Consider the following 26501-nt stretch of genomic DNA (forward strand, 5'->3'; position numbering starts at 1 on the left):
GAAATACCTTCAGCTGGGGGCGGGGCGGGGGGAGGGGGAGGAGGGCAGCTCTGCATCATAAATTACTTACTTTAGGGAAAAGTGGCAACACTTGACCAAGGGCGTGCCTTAACACCATCAGAAGACAAGAATCTGCTCGGTGCCATTTTATTTAATGCAAACACTAGACAGTTTACAAGTCACACCTGGACACAAGCACGTGAACAGATGTACAGGGAATTCTGGAATTTTGAGATCAGTCCCCATTTCTTCCTCAGGGCCCTGGCACTGAACCCCAGCCCCTGTCCCAGAGCCTCCCCTCTGGGTCCCACCCCAGAAGCCACGCACACCTCCTTCCGCCCAGCTTTATCTTTCCTTGAGCTGTGACTTCACCCAGCATGTGCTCAGAGTTGTTACAAATTTTCTCTGCCAAATTAAGCTGATAGAGATTGGCCACTTTCAACCAGTCCTTTCAGTCCACTGTGTCTCCCCTCTCGCTTGGGACAGGCCCATGCTGGCCAGTGCAACCTTCAGATAGACACATGGTGACCAGAGCCCGCCAGGCTTCTGCAGGTGGCAGTGTCGAGCAAGTGTAAGATGTCTGTGGGAAGGAGAAGCTCCTGAAATGAACGTTCTGCAAACAGAAGGCTGAGGGGTCTTCCAGGCATGTCCAGTCACTAGGAGCTGCCACCGGTGGGCTTGAGTGCCAGGCTCTAGGCTTTGTGCAGAAAGCACCCGGGGCGGGGGGCGGTAAGGGAGAGCAAAATGGGTCTCTCTCAACTGCAGTCAGTGCTCCTGGGAACACGGTCTCACAGACAGCACATATTCTACGTCACAGCTCTAGGGTTTCAAGGACTTAGCCATCCGACAGGCCTCACCATAAAGGTAAAGTGGACAACCCCTGAGGTCACGCTGTCCAGGTGGCGACAGGCCACGCATGCCAAAATCCTCCATAGCCACCTCCGGCCCAGCACCAGCCAGAGGGTGGGGCCATCGGTTCTCGACATACTTGGTATCAGGGAGGGACAAGCCTGACAAAGTTCACAATCTGGCCAATGAGTGTGGGAGGCCCTGGAAACAGGCCAATCCTGCAAGCCACCCCACCCTTACTAACTTCCTGAAGCATGGGAAGCTTCTCGAGACCAGGCCAAGGTTTCTTTCCTTCATGGCACCACGCAGAGGCATTTCTGCAGTGCTGCAGGTCCCCCTTCAGCCACACAGTCCAGGTCTGTCAGGGATTAAAGGGCCGAGCAGGAAAAGGGGTGGTAAGGAGCTCAAGGGCACGCACTGGGAATGGCCTCACAAGGCAGCCTTGAGACGCACAGGGCTACAACTGACCACCCTCCACCACAGGCATGTTTGCAAAACGAACACGAGGCATGCGTTAGACAGATGCATGTGGGGGCTGCAGATTCCAGTGGTTTCCTTAAGAAACTGGAGTTGGCTCATCCCACTCAGCAGACAATCCCGCTCAGTGGACAGCCTATGAAACGCATGGGGCCATCATGCAGACCAAAGAGGCCCGTGAGTTTTGTAAGATCCTGCCTGTCTGGTGACTCATATCTGCTTTCAGAAGTGCTTTCTGACACAGCAAACTGACTATCAGTAGACAGGGGCCCTAGACCCTAGCATGTGGTTCTGTCCCGTGAGCCTCTGACAACAGAGCTCACCGGGACAGAACCATATGTGGGCCAAAGGAACATTCCAGGAAACCAGCTCTGCTCCAGCCCAAACCAGGCAGCTCCACGCCAGGTGAGGGGCGAGTCATGGGGTTCCTGTGTTTGCCACGGTGAGCATGGCTCCCCACGCACTCTCCCTCAGAGCAGACAAGTAGGCTGACCACAGAGCTACAAAGTCACCTGCGTTTCACTAAACCAAGCGAATGTCTCTTTCCCCTCTCCTCCCCCGCCGCCCCCAATTACATTTTTAAGCAAACAAGCAGGATTCTGGCTTTGATGCTCGTTCTTGACATCGGTCACTCTTGCTACCAAAACAGGGACACAGGGTGGAGGGTGAGCACCTCTCCCCAACACAGGATAAAACTCATCTCCGGTGCAGAAATGATTGCTAAAGACCTTTCTCATGTCAACCCGAAGGCCACACCCAGCCCCCTATGGAATCAGATGGGAAACAGGCCTACGAATTGCTTCATACTTATCCGGAAGATTCCTAAGCTCTCAAGGCAGGACTATCACGAGATGCATGTTTGTACTTAAATCACTGAAAGCCTCCGCTTGGACCGGCTCTCCGGAAGCCCAGCAACATAAAACCTGGGATGGGGAAGACTGAAGTGAAACCATCATCCTGGGTGCTGCGTGTGTGTGGTGTTACTTGGTGCTGACCGGTTCGCTCCTTGCAGGGGCTCCAAGTGGGTGCAGGCTGAGCCCCCCACCTGCAGCTCCTTGAGGCCACTGTCAGGGGCTGTCTATTGGCAGAAACCTGCCACAATGAGCCACTCCAGTGTGCAGGGGTCACAGTCCCTTGAGTTCAAACTCTTGTCCCCTAAGCATAAATGTCATCAGGCCTCAGCATCATCTTGGCCCCCGCATCCTGTGCTCAGTAAAGCTGGAGGCAGGCTGGCTTTGGGAGTTGGTGGCTCAGCAGCTCCCGAGGCTGGTGCTGGCTTTCTATCAGAGCTGGCTCTTGAATTTCGGCACCAAGTCTCAGCACGCTTGGGGCAGGGCAGAGAAACCAAACTCACAAACACCCAGAGCTCATCCGGGAAACTCAGACCAACAAGGAGCCGATGGCACAGAGCAGCACAGCAGCTGCGGGTCCAAATGAAGGGGTGGGGGGAGCCGGGTGACAAGCGGTGGCACCATTGTGCATGCCTGCAGCTGGACAGGGCCCTCAGATCCGGGCTGGTTCGGGCGGCGGCGGCGGCTCTGCAGACTGCGTGTGCAACGTGGAGTATTTCACTAGGGGAAAAAGAGGCCGTCAGAAGGAATTCTGCTCTGTCTTGCACAGAAGAAGCAAATACAGCAGCAAGCCCGTGCTGGGAACAGAACTGGGTTTCCCTTTGTATCCCCTGGGGGGCCGCTTAGCAACCTTCCCTCCTGAGCCTGGGAGCAGTTTTGGGCCGGTCAAGGGGAGAGAAAGAGAAAGCTGGACAGGCTCTGGAAACAGCTCAGCCTCCATCTCCTCACCTAAAAAATGAGCGTGTTCCTGCCAGCGCTGCTGGAAGGGTTATTTTAAACAAAGGGCTCAACCTAGCACCTGCCCACACAGATGCTGGCCTCGTGGTGGCTAACCGTGGCAAAGCTCATGACAGTGGATGCGACAGCGGAATCCATTTTTCCACATCTGAACCCAGGCCTATTTTAGTTCATTTGGTGCAGCACTGCCACCCGTCTTCAGCAGCATTGTAGGGCACCTGGCTCCCAGTACACACCACACAGGCTGAGCCCCTCCTGGTCTCCCAGGCCCAGTCCCCACGGCTGCTGCACTGTAGTTCCACTGGCAACACTCGCCTGAGCTGTCCTAGTCTCCCTGCCTGCGCCACCAGGCCTCGGCTGCTCCCCGACCCCAGCAAGCCTTTCCGGACCTCCTCATTGGCATCCCGTGGGCACAGGTCATATCTGCCTCGAGCAGTTGGGCACTCTAGGCCTGTGGCCTGAACTTATGCGACCTCAAATTGCCAACAGCTCCTGAATCCAGAAAGTGCTTGATGACCACAGAAGGGGGAGGGAGGGGCACAGGTGTTGACAATAGGGTCTGGGTTTTACCCAAGTTCCCTCTTGCCTGTGGCAATTTGCAAAGGGAAAAGTTCTAGGTCTAGGTGAAAAGCTTCCCCATGGCTCTGTTCAGGATGTAATTGTATTCGCTGATGGGGAGCAGAGGTGCCTGGGGCTCTGGCTCGGACGGACGAATCAAGGGCAGGGGCCGAGCAGCCGCAATGCCCAGAAGTCACAGGCATGGCAGCAGATGGCCCTGGCTGTCACCCCAGCATCTTTGGGCTCCTGAAACTGGGAGGCAGGCTCATCAGGGCAGGCTTTTGCTCTGGCCGGACATTCTAGAAGCAGACGCCTCTGTGCTTCCCTGCTTCTCTAGCACAGTTCTGCTCAGTGCTGGGACCAACTAGGAAAGCGTCAGCAAGGGACAGTGAGTACAAAGTTCTCACCTTGGGGTTCCTCACATACCACGGCTTCCAGGTTCTCTCCCTTCACGTAGTCTGCGTTGAGACCCTCTGCAAAGGGAAAAGGGCAGAGTTAGTGATGCGCACAGGACCTAAGGGTCCCCAATCGTGACTGAGAACTCCTGACCAAGTCCTCTGCAGCTAAAAAAGCAGCACAGCTCCCCTGGGGAACTCAAAACCCTGCACCCTGAGCCACCTGAACATCCTTATCCGGATGAAGACTGTTCGTCCCAGAATTCACTGCCCAGGAGTTCTCATCATCGTCCTCAGAAATAACAACGACATGCAGCGAAGGCTTCCGGCACTCCATCCTCATAGGGCAGCTGCCACCGCGTCAAGACGGCAGCTCCGCCCAGTGGAGGGGGCGCCCGATGGCAGGGCTCAGCACCATCCACAGGTCCGTGTGCGTGTGCGGCCCGGGGGCCAGGGAGCCAATCGCTATGAGTGATTGATGGATGCAGGGCAGGGAGGGGCGGATGGCTGAGTGGGGCTCAGCATGTAGATGCAGCAAAGCCTCCTGCCAACATGCAGCCTCCCAGCAACACCCGCGCGGAGGCCAACTGCTCCTCCCAGCAGCAGGAATAACCGCTGTGTCCACCTGAGCTTGGAGGGGCCAGCCCACCAGCAGCTGCTTCAGTCTAGTTAGTTATCTAGGCTTTCTCTACACCTGTTACAAGAGGGATTCGGGGACTGTACCAAGCATTCCCTCCCGCCAGCAAGGGCCAGTGTTCAAGTTCTTAGAGTGGACCCCACCCCTGCTGCTGCTTGCAGAGAGTCAAGAGTCTGTGTCTCATCCCTGCGTAGCACAGGGACTGGAACCCTTCAGCCCCGGGTCTGTGGGAAAACTGGGGCATGGTTCCAACCGACCGACCGACCGACCAGGCACCAGTGCAAGTCAAGCCATCGTCCTGGGCTACAGGCTCCTTGCCTAAACAAGAATGCCCACCACCTGCCTGCCCCGGTGGCTGCTGGGCTTGAGGTGGGAGCCAAATGGGCCTGTGGCAAATGCGGGCGTTGCTCTTTGGCAGGTGTGGCCGGCCCCACGCAGAGCGGGGCAGGTGATGAGTGCAGTGGAAGCTGCCCCAGGTGCACCTTCCCAGCTGACAGGTGGGGGCCAGGAGACACACCCTGAGCCTCGTGATCACTGCTAGCTGCCAACCCAGTGGGCGCTGGATCGTCTCCTTCCTGTGGGTGGCCCTCTATGTGCTCCCCAGGCATGACCACCAGTGGGCACCTGAGTCCTCACCATGGCACCTCAACTCTCCCCCCACCCCTGCCACATCCAGCCTGGGGACAGAGTGTCTGGCAGGTGGCATCCTCTCACACGCATCAGGGTAAGCTAAAGATGGTCCTGGTTACAGCCACGTCGGTGAGTGCCAGGGAAGCAGGAGGGAGAAGAGCGGCAAGGAAGCGCCAGAGCAGGGGGCGAATGAGGAAGCATCAAGGCTGAAGCAAAAGGAAAGTGAGGAAGGCAAAGCAGCGTTACCTTGACCTGCTGCTGCATCTGAAGGCAAGACACAAAGCTTAGAATCCCTGGAGTAAGAGCGCTCCTGACAGCAAACATGCGGGCTTTCCACACTGAGGGCAAAGGCAAGGGAAGCCAAGGGTCCCCAGCATGGGCCTTTTGGCAGCAGCAGAGGCCGAGAGCACCTGAGGGCCACAGTGGTGGGGGCAGGCCTTCCTCGCAGCCACCTCCTGCTGTCTCCCCAGAGCTTGGTGTTCTGCACCCCGGTCCCCTCTACCGCCATCTCCATGTGGCAGTGGCTGAGACTCAGGGGAAAGAGTGGGGACAGGAGGCCCAACCCCCAGCTTCTCAGTGTTTTCAGCCACCCCACAAACGTCTGCGGGACTCCTCCTGATTCTGGCCCGGGCCAGGTGCCAGGGACATGATGTACACGCAGCCCCGCCACGGAATGGACGGTCCAGAGACTCCTGATCACGGAGGGGGCAAGGCGAGCTGGGAGTCGCACACTCAGAAACCAACCGGCCCAATCCCGCCCCATGAGCACCAGGTGAGGTCAGCAGGGGGCGCTGTAGGACCACAGGCTGGGAGAGGCTGCTCCAGGCCTGCAGGGCGAGAGGAGCTAGGTCAGGACGGGGGACAGCAGAGGCCCGGGATGGGGATGGAAGAGCACCTGGCGCCCTCGGGAAGTGAAAGGCCTCTGGGAAGCCTATGGAGGGGAAAGGATGTGGTTGGGACCAAACCATGAAGGGCTTCCACTGCCAAACTCAGGCTCAGCCAGGACCTTGAGGGCAGCAGGAAGCATAAGGGGGATCCAGGCATTTTAAAACAGGTCCCGCTGGAGGAGCGTGAGGTGTGGAGGAGACTGCACAGGCAAAAAGGTCTATGGAACCTTTTGGACGGGAGATGAGGAGAAGACCTTGGCTCTGGACTGGCAGGGGCCATGGCAATGGTGATAGGGAGGTGTGGCTCAAGAGGAGACCTACACAGGTGGCACAAATCCCAGGACTGGGGAATGCACGGACATGAGGTGGGGGGACAGGAGGACTCCCAGCCTCTAGCTTGGGGAGACAGCCACACAGGAAGGCGCCATGGGAGAAGGAAGGTTGGAGGGGAGGGGAAGGGCACTGAAATCCAAGATGGACACACTGGGCCGACGGGGTTCCTGGGAGCTGCCCCGCTTTGCCTGCTGATCCAATTCGCAAAACCTCACACTGGCCCGTTTTAGGAAATAAGCATGAAAATAATGTATTTTCCTTTCATTTTAATGTCCCACAGAGACAGATACAATCAAGATGTTCACTTTGTGCTTTGGAAATCAACCTATTTTTCTCTCTCTGTTCCTACTGACACCTGAGCAGCCTCAAGCCAGCCTCTGACTTTTTAATTCCAGAGCAGAAGGAAGTCGAGATACCCTTGATGGGGAAACTGAGGGCCCAGCAGGAGAGGGCCCAAGCCGGCCACCCTGTCTGCTCAGCCCAAGAACTCTCCCCATCCATGGCCCTGCCCTTGCCAGGCCGAGTTACAGGGCTGGCTTTTCACCCATGTGCAGAGCCCGGAAGAGAGGCAATGGCAGGTAGCTGGCAAGCGCACGATGCCCGGGACACTGCTCTTACGAGGAACTACAGACCTGTAGTTTAAATAGTTTCTTTTACCCAGCATGCTTTTTAAAGTCTCAAAGCCATCCTTTGGCCTGGCCATCTCACCCAGTTTTGTAATGGGCATGGATGTGAAAACTGTGGACTGTCGCATCTCACCATTAGGCTGACGATGCTATAGTGAAGAATGCCCCGCCCCATGCCAAAAAAGATCTGCGTGTGTCCTCATCCCTGGAACCTGTGAACATGGCCTTATTCAGGAACAGGGTCTTTGCAGGTGTAATTAAGTTAAGGATGTTAAGATGAGGTCATTCTGGATTTAGGATATAAACCGAGATTGGAATGATATGGCCACAAGCCAAGGAACATCCGGAGTCCCCTGGAACTGGGAGAGAATCAACTTCTGTTGTTTTGAGCCACTCAGTTTGTGACTCTCTGTTCTGGCAGCCCCAGTGAACTCATACAGCTTTGGCAAACCTCACCAGTGAGACCTTTTGGCTCCCAGGGCATTAGCCTTTTCGTTCAAAGAGCTCACAACTACTTTGTTGCTACGAACCAAACCTCCTTGCCACCCCAGCCACCTAGAAGGGGAAATCATCAGAAAATCAGGCCAAAATGTATCTGACATGGTGCTTCCAGCCAAATAAGCTCTCCAGCAAAGGTCCACACAGGAGAAGCCCTCTAGCCAGCCACCAGGACCTCCCCTGCCACTGTGGCCTCCATTTTGAGGACATCTTTGGGTGTAGGATTTTTTTTAATAATAAATATTCGTTCAATGACATTTTAGTTACCAACTAGTTTAGTCAGTCATACAGGAAAGATTTTTCTGTCAGTCAGTTCTAACTTTGTCCTACAGATCTGGTTTAATCTAAATCTGGGCTTTTATCTTTTCCCAAGAGGCCACCTTGAGAACCTGGATGCTTATCCAAAATCTTCACTCCTCTCCTGGCAAGCGGGATGCTCTGAGTTGTTCTCCCAAAGTGTCCCTGGCCAGGTCCTTGCTCCCTCTCCTCTAAAACAGGGAGGGGAGACGAGTATGGAGAGCTCCCAGCCCAAAGAGCAGTTTCAAATGAGGATCCCTGGCCGTGGGGAAGGCCATGTGGATTGAGCTGTGTCCCAGAATCCCCATCTCGTTCCAATCCACCTGCCGGAGGGAGAGCCCACGGAGGACAGCCTTGGGGCCTCTTGAACAGAAAACCCCTGTATTAGGCGGCTTCTACTTTTTTGCCAAATGCAATAAGAACACGGTCAGAGATGAAGGGCTGTGACTATGTACCTGGTTGCCCTGGGCTCCTTGTTCCAGGCACAGCCCAGGAGGCTGATGCAAAACTTCCCCCGCCGCGCTAAATGCAACTCGACCCTCTCGCCCAATGTCTCCTTCTAAATATCAGTGTCCAGGCAATTAGAAGGTTGGATTCCCATCTTTTTCACCAGTTAGAGGATTCCTTGATTTTTGATTTGAGGGAAAAGGGTAACTCTAAAAACAATCCATTCCCCAGCCCTGGACTCTGTCTGACCCATTCCCTGCTCATGCCACTCTACAGTCAAGCTTCCGGATCCACGGTGGGTCCGTGGGATCTCAAGCAGGGTGGCCATGAACAGTTTCGCAGGCTGCGCACTGACATGTCAACGTGCTCCTGCAGTACTGCTGTGCCTGCTGTGTGTGTCGCCCTGGTCAAGAATGTTCTACAAGAGTGAAGCAAACAAATATGATGGTCAGATTAATAAACAGTTGGAGACTTCCGTAAAGCATCTTGGGACCCAGGTTAGTTTTCTGGGAAGCTCAGCTCAGGCTAGACTTAAGGGCGGAGGGCCACAGCAAGGGTAGGGAAAGACCCACGTGGGTTGCTTCTAAGCTTCCCATTGCATCAAAGGGGCCGGGGAAGGAGTGGAAAGAGACAAGCTACAGCTGAGTCACATTCTGTCACTTGAACTGAAAATTGCCAGCCTTGAACTGGAGACACGCTCCACTCAGCAAACAGTGACAGAGCATCCATCTGTGCTTACAAAAGGGACAAGCAAGGTCTTGTTCCCTCAACAGCATCCCCACAGGGCTGCCTGATGTGGGGCGCCGATGGGTGAAGACAGGATTCCATTTGTAACTATTCCATTAATCTATGACTTCCAGACTCACAGCTACAGCATGAGATGAAAACTGTCTTTTAAAAACCTAGTAAAGGGTGGTGGGTCGGGGGGGAACCACACCATTCTTTCTCTCACATTCCTACTTCTTTGGAGCAATTAATGATTCCATACAGTTTGTGGCTCGTAGGGGGAAGAGCACCAGGCAGTGACTTCTCACGATGTGACGGGGGCACTGCCAGAGCAATAAGGGCCGTGCTTTGCAAACCCCCAGGAACTGCTGCCCTCTGCTCCTGAGGGAGCCAGCAGCATGGGAGGGAGCTGGTGACGCAGGGCCTCCAAAGGCCCTCATCCGCTTGGCTGAGGTCTGAAGCTATGGGTGCAGTCCAGGGTCCCTCCCATTCTACGTGAAGGAAACATCACAGTGGTCACTGAGCTCTGTCCCCACAGAAATACCCCTGGGAGCTGGGGCCCTGGAAGGTGAAGGTCATCAGGGCCAGCCCCACGCGCTCTTGCAGGGTGGTTTACACTTTAATTCAGCCCAGATCTGTCCCCAGGGATTTCCAAAACTGTTGCCTCCACCCCCGTCCCAGGAAGTCTGCTTGGGAGTGGGTCTCAGGCAGGCTGTGGAGGGATCTGGATCTGTCCTGGCCCCTTTCCCTCCAAAGACCTTGCCAGCTGGTTCCTAGCCACGAGTGGGTGGCTGCACTTACGCTGAATGCTGAAGCAGAACTTCTTCTGCTGGTAGGAGATGTAGCTGGAGACGGCACCGATGAGGGCCATGGCCAGGGCGCTGGCCACCCCGGCAATGGTGCCAGGCTCTGCCACCATGCCTGCGTGAAGAAGGGGGAGAAATGAGGACAGGTGAGGTCAGAGACAAAGCACCGCAGGGAGCAGCCTGGGAGCCTGCTTCTCCTCTAGCACCAAACTACTAGACGCCCCCAACCCCCAAGCCAGCAGGAGAGGGCCATGCCACACAGATCTACGGCATTACAAAGACATGGTGCCCCTTGGATTTGCCTAGGACTTCTCGTTTTCTGTAAGGGCTTCACTTTTGAGGAGCTTGAAAGGGAGACACGGAAATGGTGCAGAGCTCTCTGTGACTGACGCCCTGCAGGCTTCCCACTGGGCTACTTCCCCCGGCACCCCAATCTTCATGCTTCCTTCCTTCAAATGGCTACACCCCTCTATTGGCCTCATGATTATCTATTGGAAACGTTCAGGGGAAGGCCAACTCTGAGACCAGAGTGGGTCAGCACTATGTCTCCTTGTAGCTGCTGTGAAATATCTGAGATGGGCCTCAATCAATTTAGAAAGTTTATTTTGCCAAGGTTAAGGACACACCCATGACACAGCCTCAGGAGGTCCTGACGACACGCGCCAAGGTGGCGGGGGCACAGCTGATTTTATACATTTCGGGAGACATGAGACATCAATCAATATGTGTAAGACGTACATTGGTTTGGTCCAGAAAGGTGGGACAACTCAAAGCAGGGGTAGAGGTGGGGTGCTTCCAGGTCATAGGGAGATAAGAGAAAGAGACAAAAGGTTGCATTCTTTTGAGTCCTTGATCAGCCTTTCACTGAATACACAATTTTGTCTGGCTCAGTGAACCTGCATTTTTACATAAGCAATTGGGCAGAGGAAGCAACCAGAGATGCATTTGTATCAGGGGAGCAGAGGGACGGCTCTCTCTCCCTCTGTAAAGATCAGCTATCAGTTTGTATTGCCAGGGTGAAATTCACAGAACTGTTTTAGGGTAAAGATATTGAGGCCCATAAGAAATTTCTTTGTAGGCAAATTGTGAGGGAGGCGTGCAGCTTTTTCCATCTTTGCAGCTATCTTATTTAGGAGTAGAATGGGAGGCACGTTTGCCTGATGCAGTTTCTAGCTTGACTTTTCCCTTGGCTTAGTGATTTTGGGGTCCTGAGATTCATTTTCCTTTCACATGGCCAACAGGAGCCTCAGGATTCAGAAACCCACCAGATCCAGGGTCGTCATTGCTGCCGTACCGGCCATCACCTGAAGAAAAGACAAAAGCACTTAGTGCCAGCGACCAGCCAGCTCAGGCTCGAGCTCGGGCCTCCGCGAGACGGATGGCAGTGCTGGCCCTTCCAATCCCACCTATGCGACAAGACCCCCACCAGTGGATCACCCGTAGGCTTCTACTGGACTGCAATGAGGCCTGCTTTCTTATGCCTACCACCTGCAAAGCCCAGGCCACCAGGTGGAACTTTTTATTATTAAAATGGCAGCCACCTTGCCCTGAGCATGCCTCACATGCCGGGCTCTTTAGACACAGTATTCTATTTCACCTCTTTGCTACCAGTGGTGCAGCTGCACTAGCGGCCTCACCATAAGTGGGGGGTGGGGTGGGGTGCTGTGCCGGGACAGCCCGACTTTGAGTGCCACCACCACGGGTCTCTGACGTAGCCACTGCCTCAACTATAGCTGAAGTTGCTCTTGGAACATAAACAAATGTAGGCTCACAATCCCTTATCCACTATTTTGAAATTCAAAAGGATCTGAAGTATCACAGAAATGGAGAACAGATGAATGCTGGCAGGGGCTGGTGAGAGTTGGGAGGGAGGGAGTTGGCTATGATTATAAATGAGCAACAGTCAGGAGCCTTGTGGTGACAGACTGTTCTGTATATTGACTATGGTGGTGGTCACACAAATCACACACGATAGTACTGCAGAGAGTTAAATTCACACACGCACACACACACGCACGCACCCCTTCCACAGACAGCTACTCCCTGACAAGCCACTGGTGCCATTTCAGTACCTTAATTAGCGTTGAGTTCACCGTTCATGCCACCCTCTTCTCAGGGCCGAACACTCATTAATGGAGGGAGACTGTGTTCCCAGAGCCCGGGGTTCTCAGGGGAAACCGCCCTGGGATATTGAAGGCAAATGAGCTCCAACATTTCCTTCACCAATCAAAGAGTCAGGAGGAATGGAGGTTCATGGGTTGTAAAAATGTACCACTCTGGCAGGGTGGGGGGGTATTGATAGTTGGGGAGGCTGTGCACATGTGGGGGTGGGGGAAACATGAGAACTCTCTGTACCTTCCTCTCTATTTTTCTGTGAAACTGAAACTGCTCTAAAAAATAAAGCCTATTAAAAGAAAAAGATTCATGTTGGTGTGCTGCACCCATTAACTCATCATTTACATTAGGGACATGTACCCTACAACTTAAAGTATAATAAAAAAAAAAAAATATATATATATATATATATATATAAATAAAAGATTCCTGGGGAAAAATGAGGTTTGTTATGTTCCCACCTAAGGCTGAATCCTTGAGCTCTATGCAGTGTATAAAGATCCCTGATTGGATATGAATGGTTATTAACAAAGAGCACCAGCATTAAAAACAAAACAAAAAAAAAACAAAAAAATACACACATACAATCATTGCTGTTGGAGAAAGCATAACCAACAGGAAGATGGGGGTCACTGTGTGCAGCCAGATCAACAGAGAGGTCCCCTCCGCTATGCTGGAGGTGGCTGTCGTGATGGCATCCTCTGCTAATGTATTCATGTCACTAGACTTCCATTTTTCTGGACTCTGAGTAATTCAACCTATTCTTTCACCTCAAGGCAGAAGGAAACTGAGTGTTCTCAGGTCTCCTTTCCCTTAGGAGTACTTGGCCACAAGGATTCCCAGCAACTTAAATATCACAAGACTGCGGAGCAACAGGCTGTGAGAAGAAACATAAACAGGTCGAACCCCTTCCTAATTTCCCCCCAGGGACAAATGGACAGAAGGGCTGACTCTCCCAGACTTTCAAAAAGACTCAAAGCTCAATAGTTCACAGCTCCAGCAATTCCTATCTGACCATTTGTGATTGTTGGAGGTCCTGTCCTAAAAAGATGACAAAAATGTGCTTCTCTTCCTCCTCAAAAAAAGTGATCCCATCCTGTGGGCAAGTCTTCTCAGATGGGCATGTGAACTGAAACTACTGTGAGGCTAAGAAACATCTGGAAGAAAAAACAGCCAGTCATCTTAGATCCTTCTGTCCTTTCTCACTGCATGAACCTGAAGTCAGCCACACAGGCCACTGGAGTTAACCAAGCCGAGGTCATCGCTTTGAGCCACGCTGGGCTACCGAGCTTCGCTTACTTCCTCTAGGCACAGGCTGAACCCCGTTACTTTACAAAATGCACACTGTGCAAAAGATGGTATTGGTGATGAGTCATGGGCATAAAATAAAATTACCCAACCCAATACCATCCGTGAAGATCAGTTCCCAGTAAAACTAAAGTGGATGAAGGCGTAAAAGCACTATAGAAAAATTTAGGGGTAAGGAATTTCTATTAGCTTGGGGTAAAAAATGACTTTCTAAATATGATCCTAAAGCCAGAAACTGAAAATGGAAAAGATCAGATCAAAAGTGAAAACTTCAGTACTAAAAGTGCAAGCAACAAAAGAAAAACTAAATTGGGCTTTGTCAAAATTAAAAACTTGTGTGCTTCAAAGGACATCATCAAGAAAGTAGAATGACAACCCACAGAATAGGAGAACATATTTGCAAAATATGTATCTGATAAGGAGCTAGTATTGAGAATATATAAAGGACCCCTTCAGCTCAATAATAAAAAGGCAAATCATTCAATCTAAAAATGGGCAAAGGACATGAATAGATGTTTCTCCAAAGAGACATACAAATGGCCAATAAACACATGAAAAGATGCTCAACACTGTTGGTCATTGGGGAAATGCAAACCAAAACCATAATGAGACACCATCTCATATCCACTAGGATAACTATAATCCAAAAAAAGAAAAAGGAAAGAAGACAAGGGGAAGGGAGAGAGGGAGAGAAAGGAAGAAGTGTTGGTAAGGATGTGAAGAAATTGGAACCCCTAAACATTGCTAGCAGGCATGTAAAATGGTGCAGCTGCTATGGAAAACAGTTTGATTGCTCCTTAAGAAGTTAAACATGGAGTTACAACATGACTAACAATTCCATTTCTAGATATATACCCGAGGTAACTGAAAACATATGTCCACATAAAAATGTGCACACACATGTTCATCGCAGTATTCATAAAAGCTATAAACAACCCAAAGGTTCATCAACTGATGAATGAATGAATAAAATGTTTATGGAATATATAAGGGCTTCCTAATCTCTAATGTAAAAGGAGTCCTTAAAATATATGAGAAAATATGCAGAAATATGCAGAAATGAGAAAATATGCAGACCCCAGTAAAAAAAAAAAGCGGGCAAAGAACACAAACAGGCAATTCACAAAATATTTTAAGAGTGTCTAATAAGACATTGAAAAAGTGTTTCACTTCCTTTTAGATTCAAAGAAATGCATATTTAAACAGGATAGCATTTTGCTCTGAACAAATCTGCAAAGATAACAAAACTATAATGCCCAGTGGAGGTGATAATTTGAGAAAACAGGCACCTGTTTACTTACTAGTGGTGGAAATGGAGGTTGGCACAACCTTAATGGAATATCATTCAGCAGTACCACTCAAAGTGTCGCATCTTTAAAAGTGTCTGCTTTCTGTACCCAGCCATTTGACTTCTGGGAAGTTATCTGACTAGGGTTGTGCACATTTGGCTAAGACAATGTTCATCACAGCACTGTGCAGAGCAGCAAAAAGCTGAGGGGAATCTCTGTACAAAAATAGGGTCCTGGTGAAATAAATTATGGTATATCATAATATAATGTAACCACTGACACGGTATTTTAGAAGACCCTTTAATGACAGAGAATGATATTCAGTGTATTATTGAATGAAAAAAATGGTTTCAGGATAGCATGATCCCATTTTTATTTTTTTAAAAATCACAAATATTTACAAATATATACTTGTGCATAGAAAAAGTACTCCGAGCACGCAGTCAGAAATATTACTAGTGATTCTTCCTGGATCATGAAACAACAAACAAGTCTTTTTCATGTAATTTGTAAGAAGTTTTAACTCTGCAAGCCCCATGCAAATCTATCCACCCCTCTTTCCCACAGCTGGAGAGAGAGCTCAAAGAGGCAATTTCACAGGTCACTGGCGGACTCTTCAGTTTCAGTATGTTTTGTATTCCCACCTGCCTTCTGAGTTCACAATTATATGCCAAAGAGACTACAGTAGCTTTCTAGTAGACCAGAAGTCTCCCTGCACAGTGTATCACATGCTGCAATTTGCTTTGAGTATAGATACCTATGCATATAAGTAGCTGTATGGACTGCCATAACTCTAGGGACTGCTGCCGTTGCTATAGCCACACCATAGCAATAGGGACCGTCACTGTAGCAATAGTGACCACTGCCATAGCAGGTCTCATAGCTATAGGAACCTCTCTAGCTATAGCAACCACCATAGCTACAGAGGCCCTGTAGAAAGGAGGCATGACCTCACTGAGAAAGTTGTGAATAAGCCCTGCGATCAAAGGAAGCGTCAGACCCTCAGCATCTCACAGACAAAAGACAATGCTATACGCATACATGGCAGCCTTGATTCCTACGTAGCCATACATCTGGGGGAGGCGGGGATGCACCACACGGAGCTGCCCTTCTCTGACAGCAGCACAACCTGGGCTCACCGTGAGTGCCTGACCCACCTGGTTGCCAAGGGCATGGAGAGTAACGTAATGGTAGGAAGATTATAACTGCTGGGGGAGATGTTCAAGTATTTAAAGACATCTATAAGTGTTCTAGACTCTTCTAATAGACATAGCTAGGGCTTTTAGATATTTTAGAAATGTATTTTCATTATCTAAAAAAATGGCCAAAGTGCAAAATAAAAACAACTTTTAAAAAAATGAATAAACAAAGAGAAGAAAATCTTGCATCAAATACCCCATAGTTACCAAGTCAAACTGAACTGAAAAATCTACCAAAACATGGCTGCCTATGCTAGCCACTGGGGAGGGCACTCCTCACTGTTCCAGGAAGTCTCCAAGGCCCAGATTTTATCCATCCCCCACCACAGGGATGGGAATGCCCTCCCTCTAGGTAATATAATGGGTATCCCCTTCCAATCTGATACAGACCCTTAAAACTCTCCTTGTCTTATGTCAAGCTCCTGAGATACCAGCAAGGTGGTCATCTAGGACAAAAGCCATGTTCACGCCGTGTTCCCAGGTACGTGTTTGGGGAAGGGGAGTCTAAGGGAGCAAGTGGGTCTCTTCACATCACAGAACACCAGAGCTGGGGAGCTATTCCTCACATCTGAAACATCCTATTTCTTTACATGTTATGAAAGCTGAAATGAATGTGGAAATAGGTCCAAAGAAGAGAACTCTCAGGTATCTCTTCTTAGAACTAATCCCATCACAAAGACCCCACCTTCAAGACCTCACGTCACCCAAAGGCCCTACCCTCCAAATAACATCCTATTGGGGGTTAGGGTTTCAACACATGAATTTTCAGGAGACACAAACATTTAGTCCATAACAGAAAGGGATCATGAGAGGGCCCAGATACTTGAAGACAATGACTGTAAACACAGTGAAAATGGAAGAGAAATGTTTTCTTCAAAAACCCAAGAGGGTAAATGGATAGATAAAATGTGGTCTAGCCACACAATGGAATATTCAGCCATAAAAAGGAAGGAAATGCTGGTGCGTGCTACAACACAGATGAACTTTGACACTGTGCTGAACGATGAGAACACATGGACACAGGGAGGGGAATATCACACACCGGGGCCTGTCGGGGGGTAGGGGGGTAGGGGGCTTGGGGAGGGATAGCATTAGGAGAAACACCTAATGTACGTGACAGGTTGATGGGTGCAGCAAACCACCATGGCACGTGTATAACTATGTAACAAACCTGCACGTTCTGCACATGTATCCCAGAACTTAAAGTATATCTCTCTCTCTATATATATAAAACCGGGATCAACAGGCTACATTTGGAGGGAACTAATACTCAAAGTTACAGTCAACCAACTGATCATAGTCAGTACCGTCCCCTTTAACCCTGTGAACTACAAGTGAGGGCGTTCACGCTTCACACTTGGGGACATCTCCAGATAGCCTCTGTATGCAACCCAGACACATGGGTAAGAGAATGCCTGTATGTCTTTAGAAGGAGGGTTTTTAGTCTTGGCTCAGTGTTTAAGAACTGCATGCTTTGGCCTTTAAAAAAATGCCCTCTTGGTGTAAAAATGTGCCCAATTTGATTCGAACATTTTCAAAATAATTTTTTTCTGATTAAGAAAAATGAGGCAGTGTTTCAGCCCTGTGAACCCACAGTAGTTATGAACAAGCAGTGTATAGCTGAGTGAGCCCAGCATATGGGCTGCTAAACGCAGGAGGTGGTGATCCAAAAAAAGGAATCAGTACAGTGAAATGCTGGGTGCTGCAAAGCAAGTTCCACCTTTAGACCCGGAAGGAGAAGCTCAGGTAGTGCTCCTCTCCTTCTGGTGTTCTCTGCAGTGCATGGAGGGTTCGCACTTGGAGCAGACACAAGGCTCACCGTGAAGACATCCATTTCGTACCACCCAAGGCTCCAAGTGGCACCCTTGAAAGAGCTGTCACGAAAACTCTAGCTTTGAGCAGACTCAGAAGTTTGGGAAAGGTCTGCAGATAACGAAGGAGAGGGTAAAACACCTAGCCCGAGCAACGGAGTAGACACTGCTTAGGGGATCCTTAAGGAGCACAGAAGGAAGACTCTCCTTCTGGGGATAGGGAGAAAGGAAAGCAGCAAATGGCCTCTTTCCCCAGCCAGCAGTGCCCTTGCCCCCATTTGGTTCCTTGTGTTAATTTATCAAGAGTCTTCTGACCAACAGGCCAGTGAGGGTGATCCGGGAGTGCTAATAACACCCCTCCCCGCTTCTCCTCCCCTCCGGGTTCTTTACCAACTGAGAACAGATGTAAGGAGCCAGAGAAAGATCAAAGGTAAGGCATCTGCTTGATGAAGAGGCTAAAGTACAGCAGCACCCTCAAGAGCAGGGCTTCTGTGTACTAGTTAGAGGACATGACCTGAGGCCACACAGAAGCTACGTGTTACTTCTCTCCCTTTTCCCTTCTCACAAAAATCATCCCAGAGCTCATGTGGGGGAAAGCTGGGCTTATAGAGCAGACACAGGGTTCACCTACTATGAGAGTGCACACTTCCCCAGCTAGCGATGTGGTGGGCCCTGGCTCTCGCACTCCTTTGAGGTTCCAGGAGAAAGCAGCAGGTCATGCCATGATCCCACCAGTAATGTGGCCCAGAGGATCAGCAGGCTCACCCTGGCTTCGCCAATCAAAAGTATCACTCTAGCCTTCACAGGGAGGTGTGACAGAGAAGGCAGAGAGCAAAGCTGGGTGTTTGCTCCACAGTCCTCATGCCAGCAAACCTGCATGGAGGTGTCAGGGATACACAGGAAGCCCAGTCTAGCAGAAGCAAAAAAGATAAACACCACCCGCTGTGGTTCAGAATGACATGTGCTATCCTGTACCAGCGGAGTGACAGAAGCTCTAGGAGAGCCCAGGGGCAGGAGATGGAAGCTGTGCTGCAGGGCGGAGAGTGGGCAGGGAGACAGGACCACAGATGGGGGCAGCCTCCTGAGAGGAGGGGATCTCCAGCATGGGTAACTTAGCACTTGCTTGAGGATGACTGGGAATTTACATGGTGGAAGGCAAGCAGTTTAGACCGAGGAATGTCATCTGCAGGCACTGGCATATGTACCTACTGGCCTTTCTCCATGTTTGAAGATCACAGGAACCTGGCGGTCTAGGGCAGAAAGAACATGTCAGCAGACTAAGGGGCTTGAACTTATCTCGTAAGCAGTGGGGAACCACTAAAGAGGCTTTTGTTGTTGTTCCTGCTTCTTTAATTTTTTTCACCAACATCTAATTAAGAAAAATTTCAAACATACAAAAAAGTTTAAAACTTCTTGCAGTGAACACCCAAATTCCCAGCACGCAGACCTGTAATTAACATTTTGCATCATTCACTTTATCACGTCTGCCATCCCTCTTGTCAATCGATCTTATTTTTGTAACACATGTCAAAGTTACAGACATCAGTATCCTTCAACCTATGGTTACCTAGCATTTTACATTTGCTTACGATTCCTTTTTTAAGGTAAAACTTACATACAGTGAAACACATAAATCTTCCACGTACCAGTGGATAACTTTTGACAGATGCACACAACTATGAAACCGAGACCCCTATCAAGACACAGAGCATAACCATCATGCCAGAAAGTGACACCCAGTTGATCTTATTCACACACCTAACCCCCGCAGCCACAGATCTCATTTCTATCATTATAGCTTAGTTTTGGCTGTAGTGGAACTTCATATAATTGGGCTCAAATAATACGTACTCTTTTTTCATTAGCCTCTTTTACTCAGCATATTGTTTTTGACATTTATCCATGCTGTCGTATCAGTAACTCATCCCATTGCAATAAACATATAAATGTATCACAGTTTGTCGATCAATTCTCCTATTGATACCTGGGTGTTTCCAAGTTTTGTTTGTGTTTTCTGCTATCGTAGATCAAGCAATGAGCATTCTTTTATAAGTCTTTTGTTTTGTTGTTGGAAGCGGGCAGAACATAGCTCTCATTTCTCTTGAATAGGGAATGAAATTGCTGGGTCGCTAGGTAGGTCTATGTTCAGCTTTAGAAGAAACTTGACATCCCTACCAATGATGTATGAGAACTGCAGTCACTCCACATCTTCATCAACATTTGATACTACCTTTTAAATTTTAGTTATTCTGGAGGATGTGTTGTGGTATCTCATGGTGGTTTGATTTGTATTTCCCCAAAGAATAATGATTTTGGTTTTTTTTTTTAAAAAATTTTAGGTTCAGGGGTACATGTGCAGGTTTGTTATACAGGTAAATTGTGTGTCATGGGGATTTGTTGTACAGATTATTTCATCGCCTAGGTATTAAGCCTAGTATTCATTAGTTATTTTTCCCGATCCTTTCCCTCCTCCCACCCTCCACCCCTTGATAGGCCCCAGAGTGTGTTGTTCCCCTCTATGCGTCTATGTGTTCTCATCATTTAGCTCCCACTTATAAGTGAGAACATGTGGTATCTGGTTTTCTGTTCCTGAGTTAGTTTGCTTAGGATAATGGCCTCCAGCTCCATCTAAGTTGTTGCAAAGGACGTGATCTCATTTTTTAAGGCTGTGTAGTATTTCCTGGTATATATGTACCACATTTTCTTCATCTAGTCCTCTGTTGATGGGCACTTAGGTTGATTCCGTGTCTTTGCTACTGTGAATAGTGCTGCACTGAACATACACATGCATGTGTCTTTATGATAGAGCAATTTGTGTTTGGGTATATACTAAATAATGGCATTGCTGGCTCAAATGGTAATTCTGTTTTAAGTTCTTTGAGAAATCACCAAACTTTTTTCAACGCTGGCTGAACTAATTTACATTCCCATCAGCAGTGCATAAATGTTCCCCTTTCTCCACAACCTCGTCAGCATTTATTTTTTGACTTTTTGATAACAGCCATTCTGACTGGTGTGAGAAGGTATCTCATTGTGGTTTTGATTTGCATTTCTCTAATGATTAGTGATGTTAAGCTTTTTTTCATATGCTTGTTGGCCGCATGTATGTCTTCTTTTGAGAAAAGTCTGTTCATGTCTTTTGCCCGCTTTTTAATGGGATGGTTTGTTTTTTGCTAGTAAATTTGTTTAAGTTCCTTATAGATTCTGGATATTAGACCTTTGTTGGATGCATAGTTTGCAAATATTTTCTCACATTCTATAGGTTGTCTGTTTACTCTGTTGATAGTTTCTTTTGCTGTGCAGAAGCTCTTTAGTTTGATGAGGTCCCATGTGTGGATTTTTGTTTTTGTTGCAATTGTTTTTGGTGTCTTTGTCATGAAGACTTTGCCTTCTGACAAAGGTCCTATGTCCAGAATAGTATTGCCTAGCTTGTCTTCAGGGTTTTCATAGATTTGGGTTTTACATTTAAGTCTTTAATCCATCTTGAGTTGATTTTTGCATATGGCAAAAAGGTAGGGGTCCAGCTTCAATCTTCTGCATATGGCCAGCCAGTTATCCCAGCACCATTTATTGAATAAAGAGTCCTAACCAACCCAAATGTCCATCAATGATAGACTGGATTAAGAAAATGTGACACACATACACCATGAAATACTATGCAGCCATAAAAAAGGATGAGTTCATGTCCTTTGCAGGGACATGGATAAAGTTGGAAACCATCATTCTGAGCAAACTATCACAAAGGCAGAAAACCAAACACCGCATGTTCTCACTCATAGGTGGGAACTGAACAATGAGAACACTTGGACACAGGGTGGGGAACATCACACACTGGGACCTGTCGTGGGATTGGGGGAGGGGGGAGGGATAGCACTAGGAGATATACCTAATGTAAATGACGAGTTAATGGGTACAGCAAACCAACATGGCACATGTATACATATGAAACAAACCCGCACGTTGTGTACATGTACCCTAGAACTTAAAGTATATATATATATATATATATATATATATATATATATAAAAGGAGTCCTTTCCCCACTGCTTGTTTTGTCAATTTTGTTGAAGATCAGATGGCTGCAGGTCTGAGGCATTTTTTGTATGTTCTCTATTCTGTTCCACTGGTCTATGTGTCTGTTCTTGTACCAGTACCATGCTGTTTTGGTTACTGTAGCAGGACACAATACAAAAAGAAAACTTCAGGCTGATATCATTGATGAACATAGATGCAAAAATCCTCAACAAAATACCAGCAAATTGAATCCAGCAGCATATCAAAAAGCTAATCCAACACGATCAAGTAGACTTTATCCCTAGGATGCAAGATTGGTTCAACACACATAAATTATTTTGAACATCATGTAACTTCTTTTGTGATGTGTCTGTTCAAATCCTATGCTCATTTTTTAATTGGATTGTTTGTCTTTTCATTGTTACACAGTATTTTTTAAACAGAGGAATGACAGGGTCACATTCATGTTCTTGATGGTTCTCTCTTGCGGCTGCAAGGAGGACAAGCTGGAGCAAAGATACCAGTTAAGCGGTTAAGGTCAACACTCTTAACCGCTTAGCTGGTCATCCCAAGGGAGGGTGAAGATGGCCTGGGCTTGAGGGGAGATAAAGAGAAAGAATAATCTAGATTCAAAAGATACCAGGGAAGAGACTTCTGGCATGAGACAGTAAGGAGATCAACAAATCCTCTCCTCAAAAAGCAACTATAAACCTGGACAAAAAGTTAGTCATTTCAGGAAAGTCATTTGATTTCAGTAAAAACAGCTTGAGTCCACGGCATTTTTACCCCAGGCTGCTCTCATTTTTCCCTTCCCTAAGTCTGTCGGCAGACTGTTCAACCGGAGCAAAAACCAGCAATAGTGTATGACTGCTAGGTCATATGGCAAGTCTATGTTGAACTTTACAATAAACTGTCAAGCTCTCTTCCAAGGTGGCCGTACCATTTTGCATTCTCACAAACAATGAATGAGCGTTCTTGTTGCTCTGCATCCTCATCAGCAATTGATATTATCAGCTTTTTGGATTTTAGACATTCTAACAGGTGCATAGTGGTATCTTGTTTTCATTTGTATTTCCCTAGTGAGAAATGACGTTGAATATCTTATTTTCCTATTTTATATTCTTCTTTGGTGAAGTCTCTTCATATTTTTTACCCATTTTAAAATTGGGGTTGAGTTCTTATTGTTGACTTTTATGAATTCTTTTTTTCTTTTTTTTTTTTTTTTGAGACAGAGTCTTGCTCTGTCACCCAGGCTGGAGTGCAGTGGTGTGATCTCAGCTCACTGCAACTTCCACCTCCCAGGTTCAAGCGATTCTCCTGCCTCAGCCTCCCGAGTAGCTGGGACTACAGGCACGTGCTACCATGCCCAGCTAATTTTTTGTATTTTTAGTAGAGACAGGGTTTCACCGTGTTAGCCAGGATGGTCTCGATCCCCTGACCTCGTGATCCACCCGCGTCGGCCTCCAGAAGTGCTGGGATTACAGGCGTGAGCCACCACGCCCGGCCTATGAATTCTTTATATCATCTGAATACAAGTCCTTTATCAGGTATATGATTTTGCAAATATTTTCTCCAAATCTGTGGCTTGTCTTTTTCTTTTCTTCATAGTGTTGTTCATAGAACAAAAGTATAAAGTATTATGTGTATGTCTACACAGAAACCTGTATGTAATGTTTAAAAATGTTTATAGCTGGGCGCAACGGCTCCCACGTGTATCCCAGCATATTGGGAGGCCAAGGCAGAAGAATCACCTGAGCCCAGGAGCTCGAGACCACCCTGGGCAACATAGCAAGACCCCATCCCTACAAAAATTTTAAAAGTTAGTCAAGTATGGTGGTGCGTATCTATGGTCCCAGATACTCAGGAGGCTGAGGTGGGAGGATTGCTTGAGCTCAGGAGGTCAATGCTTCAGTGAACTGTGTTTGCATTACTGCACTCCAGGCTAGGCAACAGAGTGAGATCCTATCTCAAAAAAAAGTTTTATTTATAGCAGTTTTATTCATATTCACTCCAGACTGGAAGCAACCAAGATGTCCTTCAGCAGGTGAATGGATAAACAAAGTGGTACATCCATACAATGGGATATTGTTCAATGCTAAAAAGAACAAACTACCAAGCTATGAAAAAACATGAAAAAACTTTAAATGCATATTGCTAAGTGAAAGAAGCTAGTCTGAAAAGCCTATATACTGTATGGCTCCAATTCTATGGCATCCTGGATAAGGTAAAACCACAGAGAAGTAAACAAATCAGTGGTTGCGCTAATAGAAACTAGACTAGGGTTGAGGGAAGGGGGAGTGGCTGACTATCAAGGGCATGTACAGAAGTCCTTGCATGGTGAAGAAACTGTTCTGTATGGTACTTGGGTGGTGGACATGTGACTCTATGCATTTGCCAAAACCCACAGAACTATATGTTACAAAGAGTGAACTTTAATGCCTACAAGCAGAAGAACAAAACATCAACCAGGTGGGTGGGGGACTCCCAGGATGGAATGCAGACTATGACAAATGAATCTAACTCCATTATAAATGGGTGGCATTACTGTACTGAATGGATGAGGAAGGTAAAGGAACCGACCTAAGTAACTTTGAAAAACAGTATTTTGACTGGGAACTGTAAGGTAAAGACAAAAGAAACTGAACATAAACACTGGACTCTAGTTGGTAAAGTTGTTTCTCCTGGGGGTATGAGTTAGCAATTCTGATGCTCTATACGTGTATACCTGAATTGAGTAAGACAGTAAATGAATGACGGGTAGTAGGAGCTAGGTGTCTCACTGTCAGAGAGGAAAGTTATAGGTAAGTGAGAAAGGAAGATCGAAATAATCCTTCTGGCACTGGATTACAGTTGGAGATATAAGTATGAAGTCATGTTTAGGTTATATACCTGCTGACGGTTAAAAGAAATTATTTTGGATATGTGTATATATATGGTGTTATGTACTGAACATTTGTATCCCGTCTCTCAAGGTCATATGTTGAAGTCCTAACCTCCAATGTGATGATATTAGGAGGTGGGGTCTTTGGGAGTTAATTAGGTAATGAAGGTCGACCCCTCATGATAGGATTAGAACCCTTATAAGAAGAGACACCAGAGCTTTCTCCCCACTCTGTCCTCTCCACCAATCAGGGACACAACAAGAAGATAGCCATCTCCAAAAGAGGATGCAGATCCTCACTGGATACTGTATCTATCCATGACTTGGTCTTGGACTTCCCAGCCTCTAGAACTGTGAGAAACAAATGTCTGTTGCTTAATTATCACCCAGTCTGTGGTAATTTGTTATAGCAGCCTGAAGTAAGACACATGGGTTAGTATATATACATATATTTCCTATTTCCTATCTCTGTCTGCTTAGACAGTCTAGAAGTAGCGATATACCACTAAGCAATGAATACTCAGATCTTGGTTTCTAATACCATTCTCTTTCCCAGTGAAAGAGAATGACATACAGAATTGGACACCAAGGAAATAAATCCAAGAGGCAGCAGTGTTCAGAAAGAAGCAGTGAATGAGACTCATGAATGAGACCAGTCAATGAGTGAGAAAGGGCCCAGGAGGAAAGAATGTTAAGGAGAAGGTGATCATCAAAGTCAAATGCTACAGAGGCCACACAGGACAGAGGGCTGTGACCATCAGGAAGCCATTGGGAACCACAGTGGGAGTAGGGGCTTGCATACTCTAGGGTATACATGGCAGGGGGGCCATGAGGAGTTGAAACATTGGCCTCAAATTTCTCAAAGTGCTATGGAAAGCAGTCTGTTGGCAGAAATGGGGGACAATCAGAGTCCTGCCCAGGCTGGGCAGGAAGGAAATAAGGGCGGAGGAGGAGGGCTTATAGGCCATCACCTTCTTAGAGAAAGGCAATAGGACCTGTTGACAAAAGACTGTCATCGTTACCTATAGGCAAAATGTGGGGCTTCTACAGGGTAAGAGGTCTTCCTGAGAAAAAAAATCCATAACAAATAATGTATTGTTTCAAAAATACACTCCAAAATGTAGCTGAATCTATGTGCCTAAGACCCAAGCCTGAAAAATGCATTAATTAGGATTCTTTTCATGCTGAAGATCATAATTTATTGAAATGTGATGTTTTACCTTTGCTCACAGCATTAGCATATTTTTGTGTAAAGGACAGTGTCTGAGAATTCCATGGTGTGCTTATCATAACCATGTTTCAGTTTCACACTTGTCCTTTTTTCCACGACCCCCTTTATCTTCTTTTCCTGACACCTATAATGGCAGAGGGTATAACTTAAGCTAACAATTGATTATTCTTTACAAGAGAAGTTCAAATATGAGCCTAATTAAAGAATTCCTGAACACTTCTTCCTTGCTAAAACATGCACTTTTAATAAGGAAAAGCCCCTGACATGCCATTCAGACTTTCATTCATGTGTGTGCTTACACGTGTGCCTACTGCTCTCATTTCACCATCTGGAAATACCACTTATCACCCAGAAGTAATTGGCTAATTTGCTGGATTTGCCCTTTAAATGTTCCATGTTATCCTGACACCTGTAGGTTTCATTTAGAGGCTTTTTGTGCTTTTTAGTAGAGATGACTCTGTCTGGAAAGGTGTTTCGAAGGATAAATTTAACCATGGTATCCTTTAATCGGAAGAGAACACTATTCCCATACGAAAGGCACACCGTTCTTGCAAGAAAAGAGCAAACACTAGTAACCACAGCCAAGACTGTGGGGAGTGTATCAGAGTTACAACCAGATACACCCATAACTTGTCACACTTATAACCGGGTGTAACAGCAATTTGCCATTGCAACAGG

At 47.6% G+C, this 26501-nt stretch overlaps 1 protein-coding gene across 8 annotated transcripts in view, besides 4 other annotated features; it reads right to left on the bottom strand.

The window, feature by feature from the left end:
• Positions 132-26501, bottom strand: part of CD99L2 (CD99 molecule like 2) — a 132333-nt gene continuing 105963 nt past the window's right edge. For 7 of the 8 annotated variants that reach the window (NM_134445.4, NM_134446.4, NM_001184808.2 and 4 more), the window contains 4 exons: positions 11240-11278; positions 9970-10089; positions 4100-4165; positions 132-2897 (listed from right to left, as the gene is read on the bottom strand). In NM_134445.4, the coding sequence (NP_604394.1) occupies positions 2830-2897; positions 4100-4165; positions 9970-10089; positions 11240-11278 (293 nt within the window). In that variant the 3' untranslated portion in view covers positions 132-2829. Of the gene's footprint in view, positions 2898-4099; positions 4166-5600; positions 5619-9969; positions 10090-11239; positions 11279-26501 lie in introns of all 8 variants that reach the window. The other variant, NM_001242614.2, reaches the window with a different exon arrangement.
• Positions 1484-1593: a silencer, noted in NCBI's record as "silent region_21053". NCBI's record gives its function as "represses an Ori minimal core promoter by ATAC-STARR-seq in GM12878 lymphoblastoid cells {active_cell/tissue: GM12878}" and the evidence as "EXISTENCE:reporter gene assay evidence [ECO:0000049][PMID:35858748]".
• Positions 5662-6209: an enhancer, noted in NCBI's record as "H3K4me1 hESC enhancer chrX:149940339-149940886 (GRCh37/hg19 assembly coordinates)". NCBI's record gives its function as "activates a minimal SCP1, AML or CMV promoter by ChIP-STARR-seq in naive H9 embryonic stem cells {active_cell/tissue: H9 hESC(naive)}" and the evidence as "EXISTENCE:reporter gene assay evidence [ECO:0000049][PMID:30033119]".
• Positions 6210-6755: an enhancer, noted in NCBI's record as "H3K4me1 hESC enhancer chrX:149940887-149941432 (GRCh37/hg19 assembly coordinates)". NCBI's record gives its function as "activates a minimal SCP1, AML or CMV promoter by ChIP-STARR-seq in naive H9 embryonic stem cells {active_cell/tissue: H9 hESC(naive)}" and the evidence as "EXISTENCE:reporter gene assay evidence [ECO:0000049][PMID:30033119]".
• Positions 11368-11999: an enhancer, noted in NCBI's record as "H3K27ac-H3K4me1 hESC enhancer chrX:149946045-149946676 (GRCh37/hg19 assembly coordinates)". NCBI's record gives its function as "activates a minimal SCP1, AML or CMV promoter by ChIP-STARR-seq in primed H9 embryonic stem cells {active_cell/tissue: H9 hESC(primed)}" and the evidence as "EXISTENCE:reporter gene assay evidence [ECO:0000049][PMID:30033119]".

This window comes from Homo sapiens, chromosome X, assembly GCF_000001405.40.
Source record: "Homo sapiens chromosome X, GRCh38.p14 Primary Assembly".
Lineage (NCBI taxonomy): Eukaryota > Metazoa > Chordata > Mammalia > Primates > Hominidae > Homo > Homo sapiens.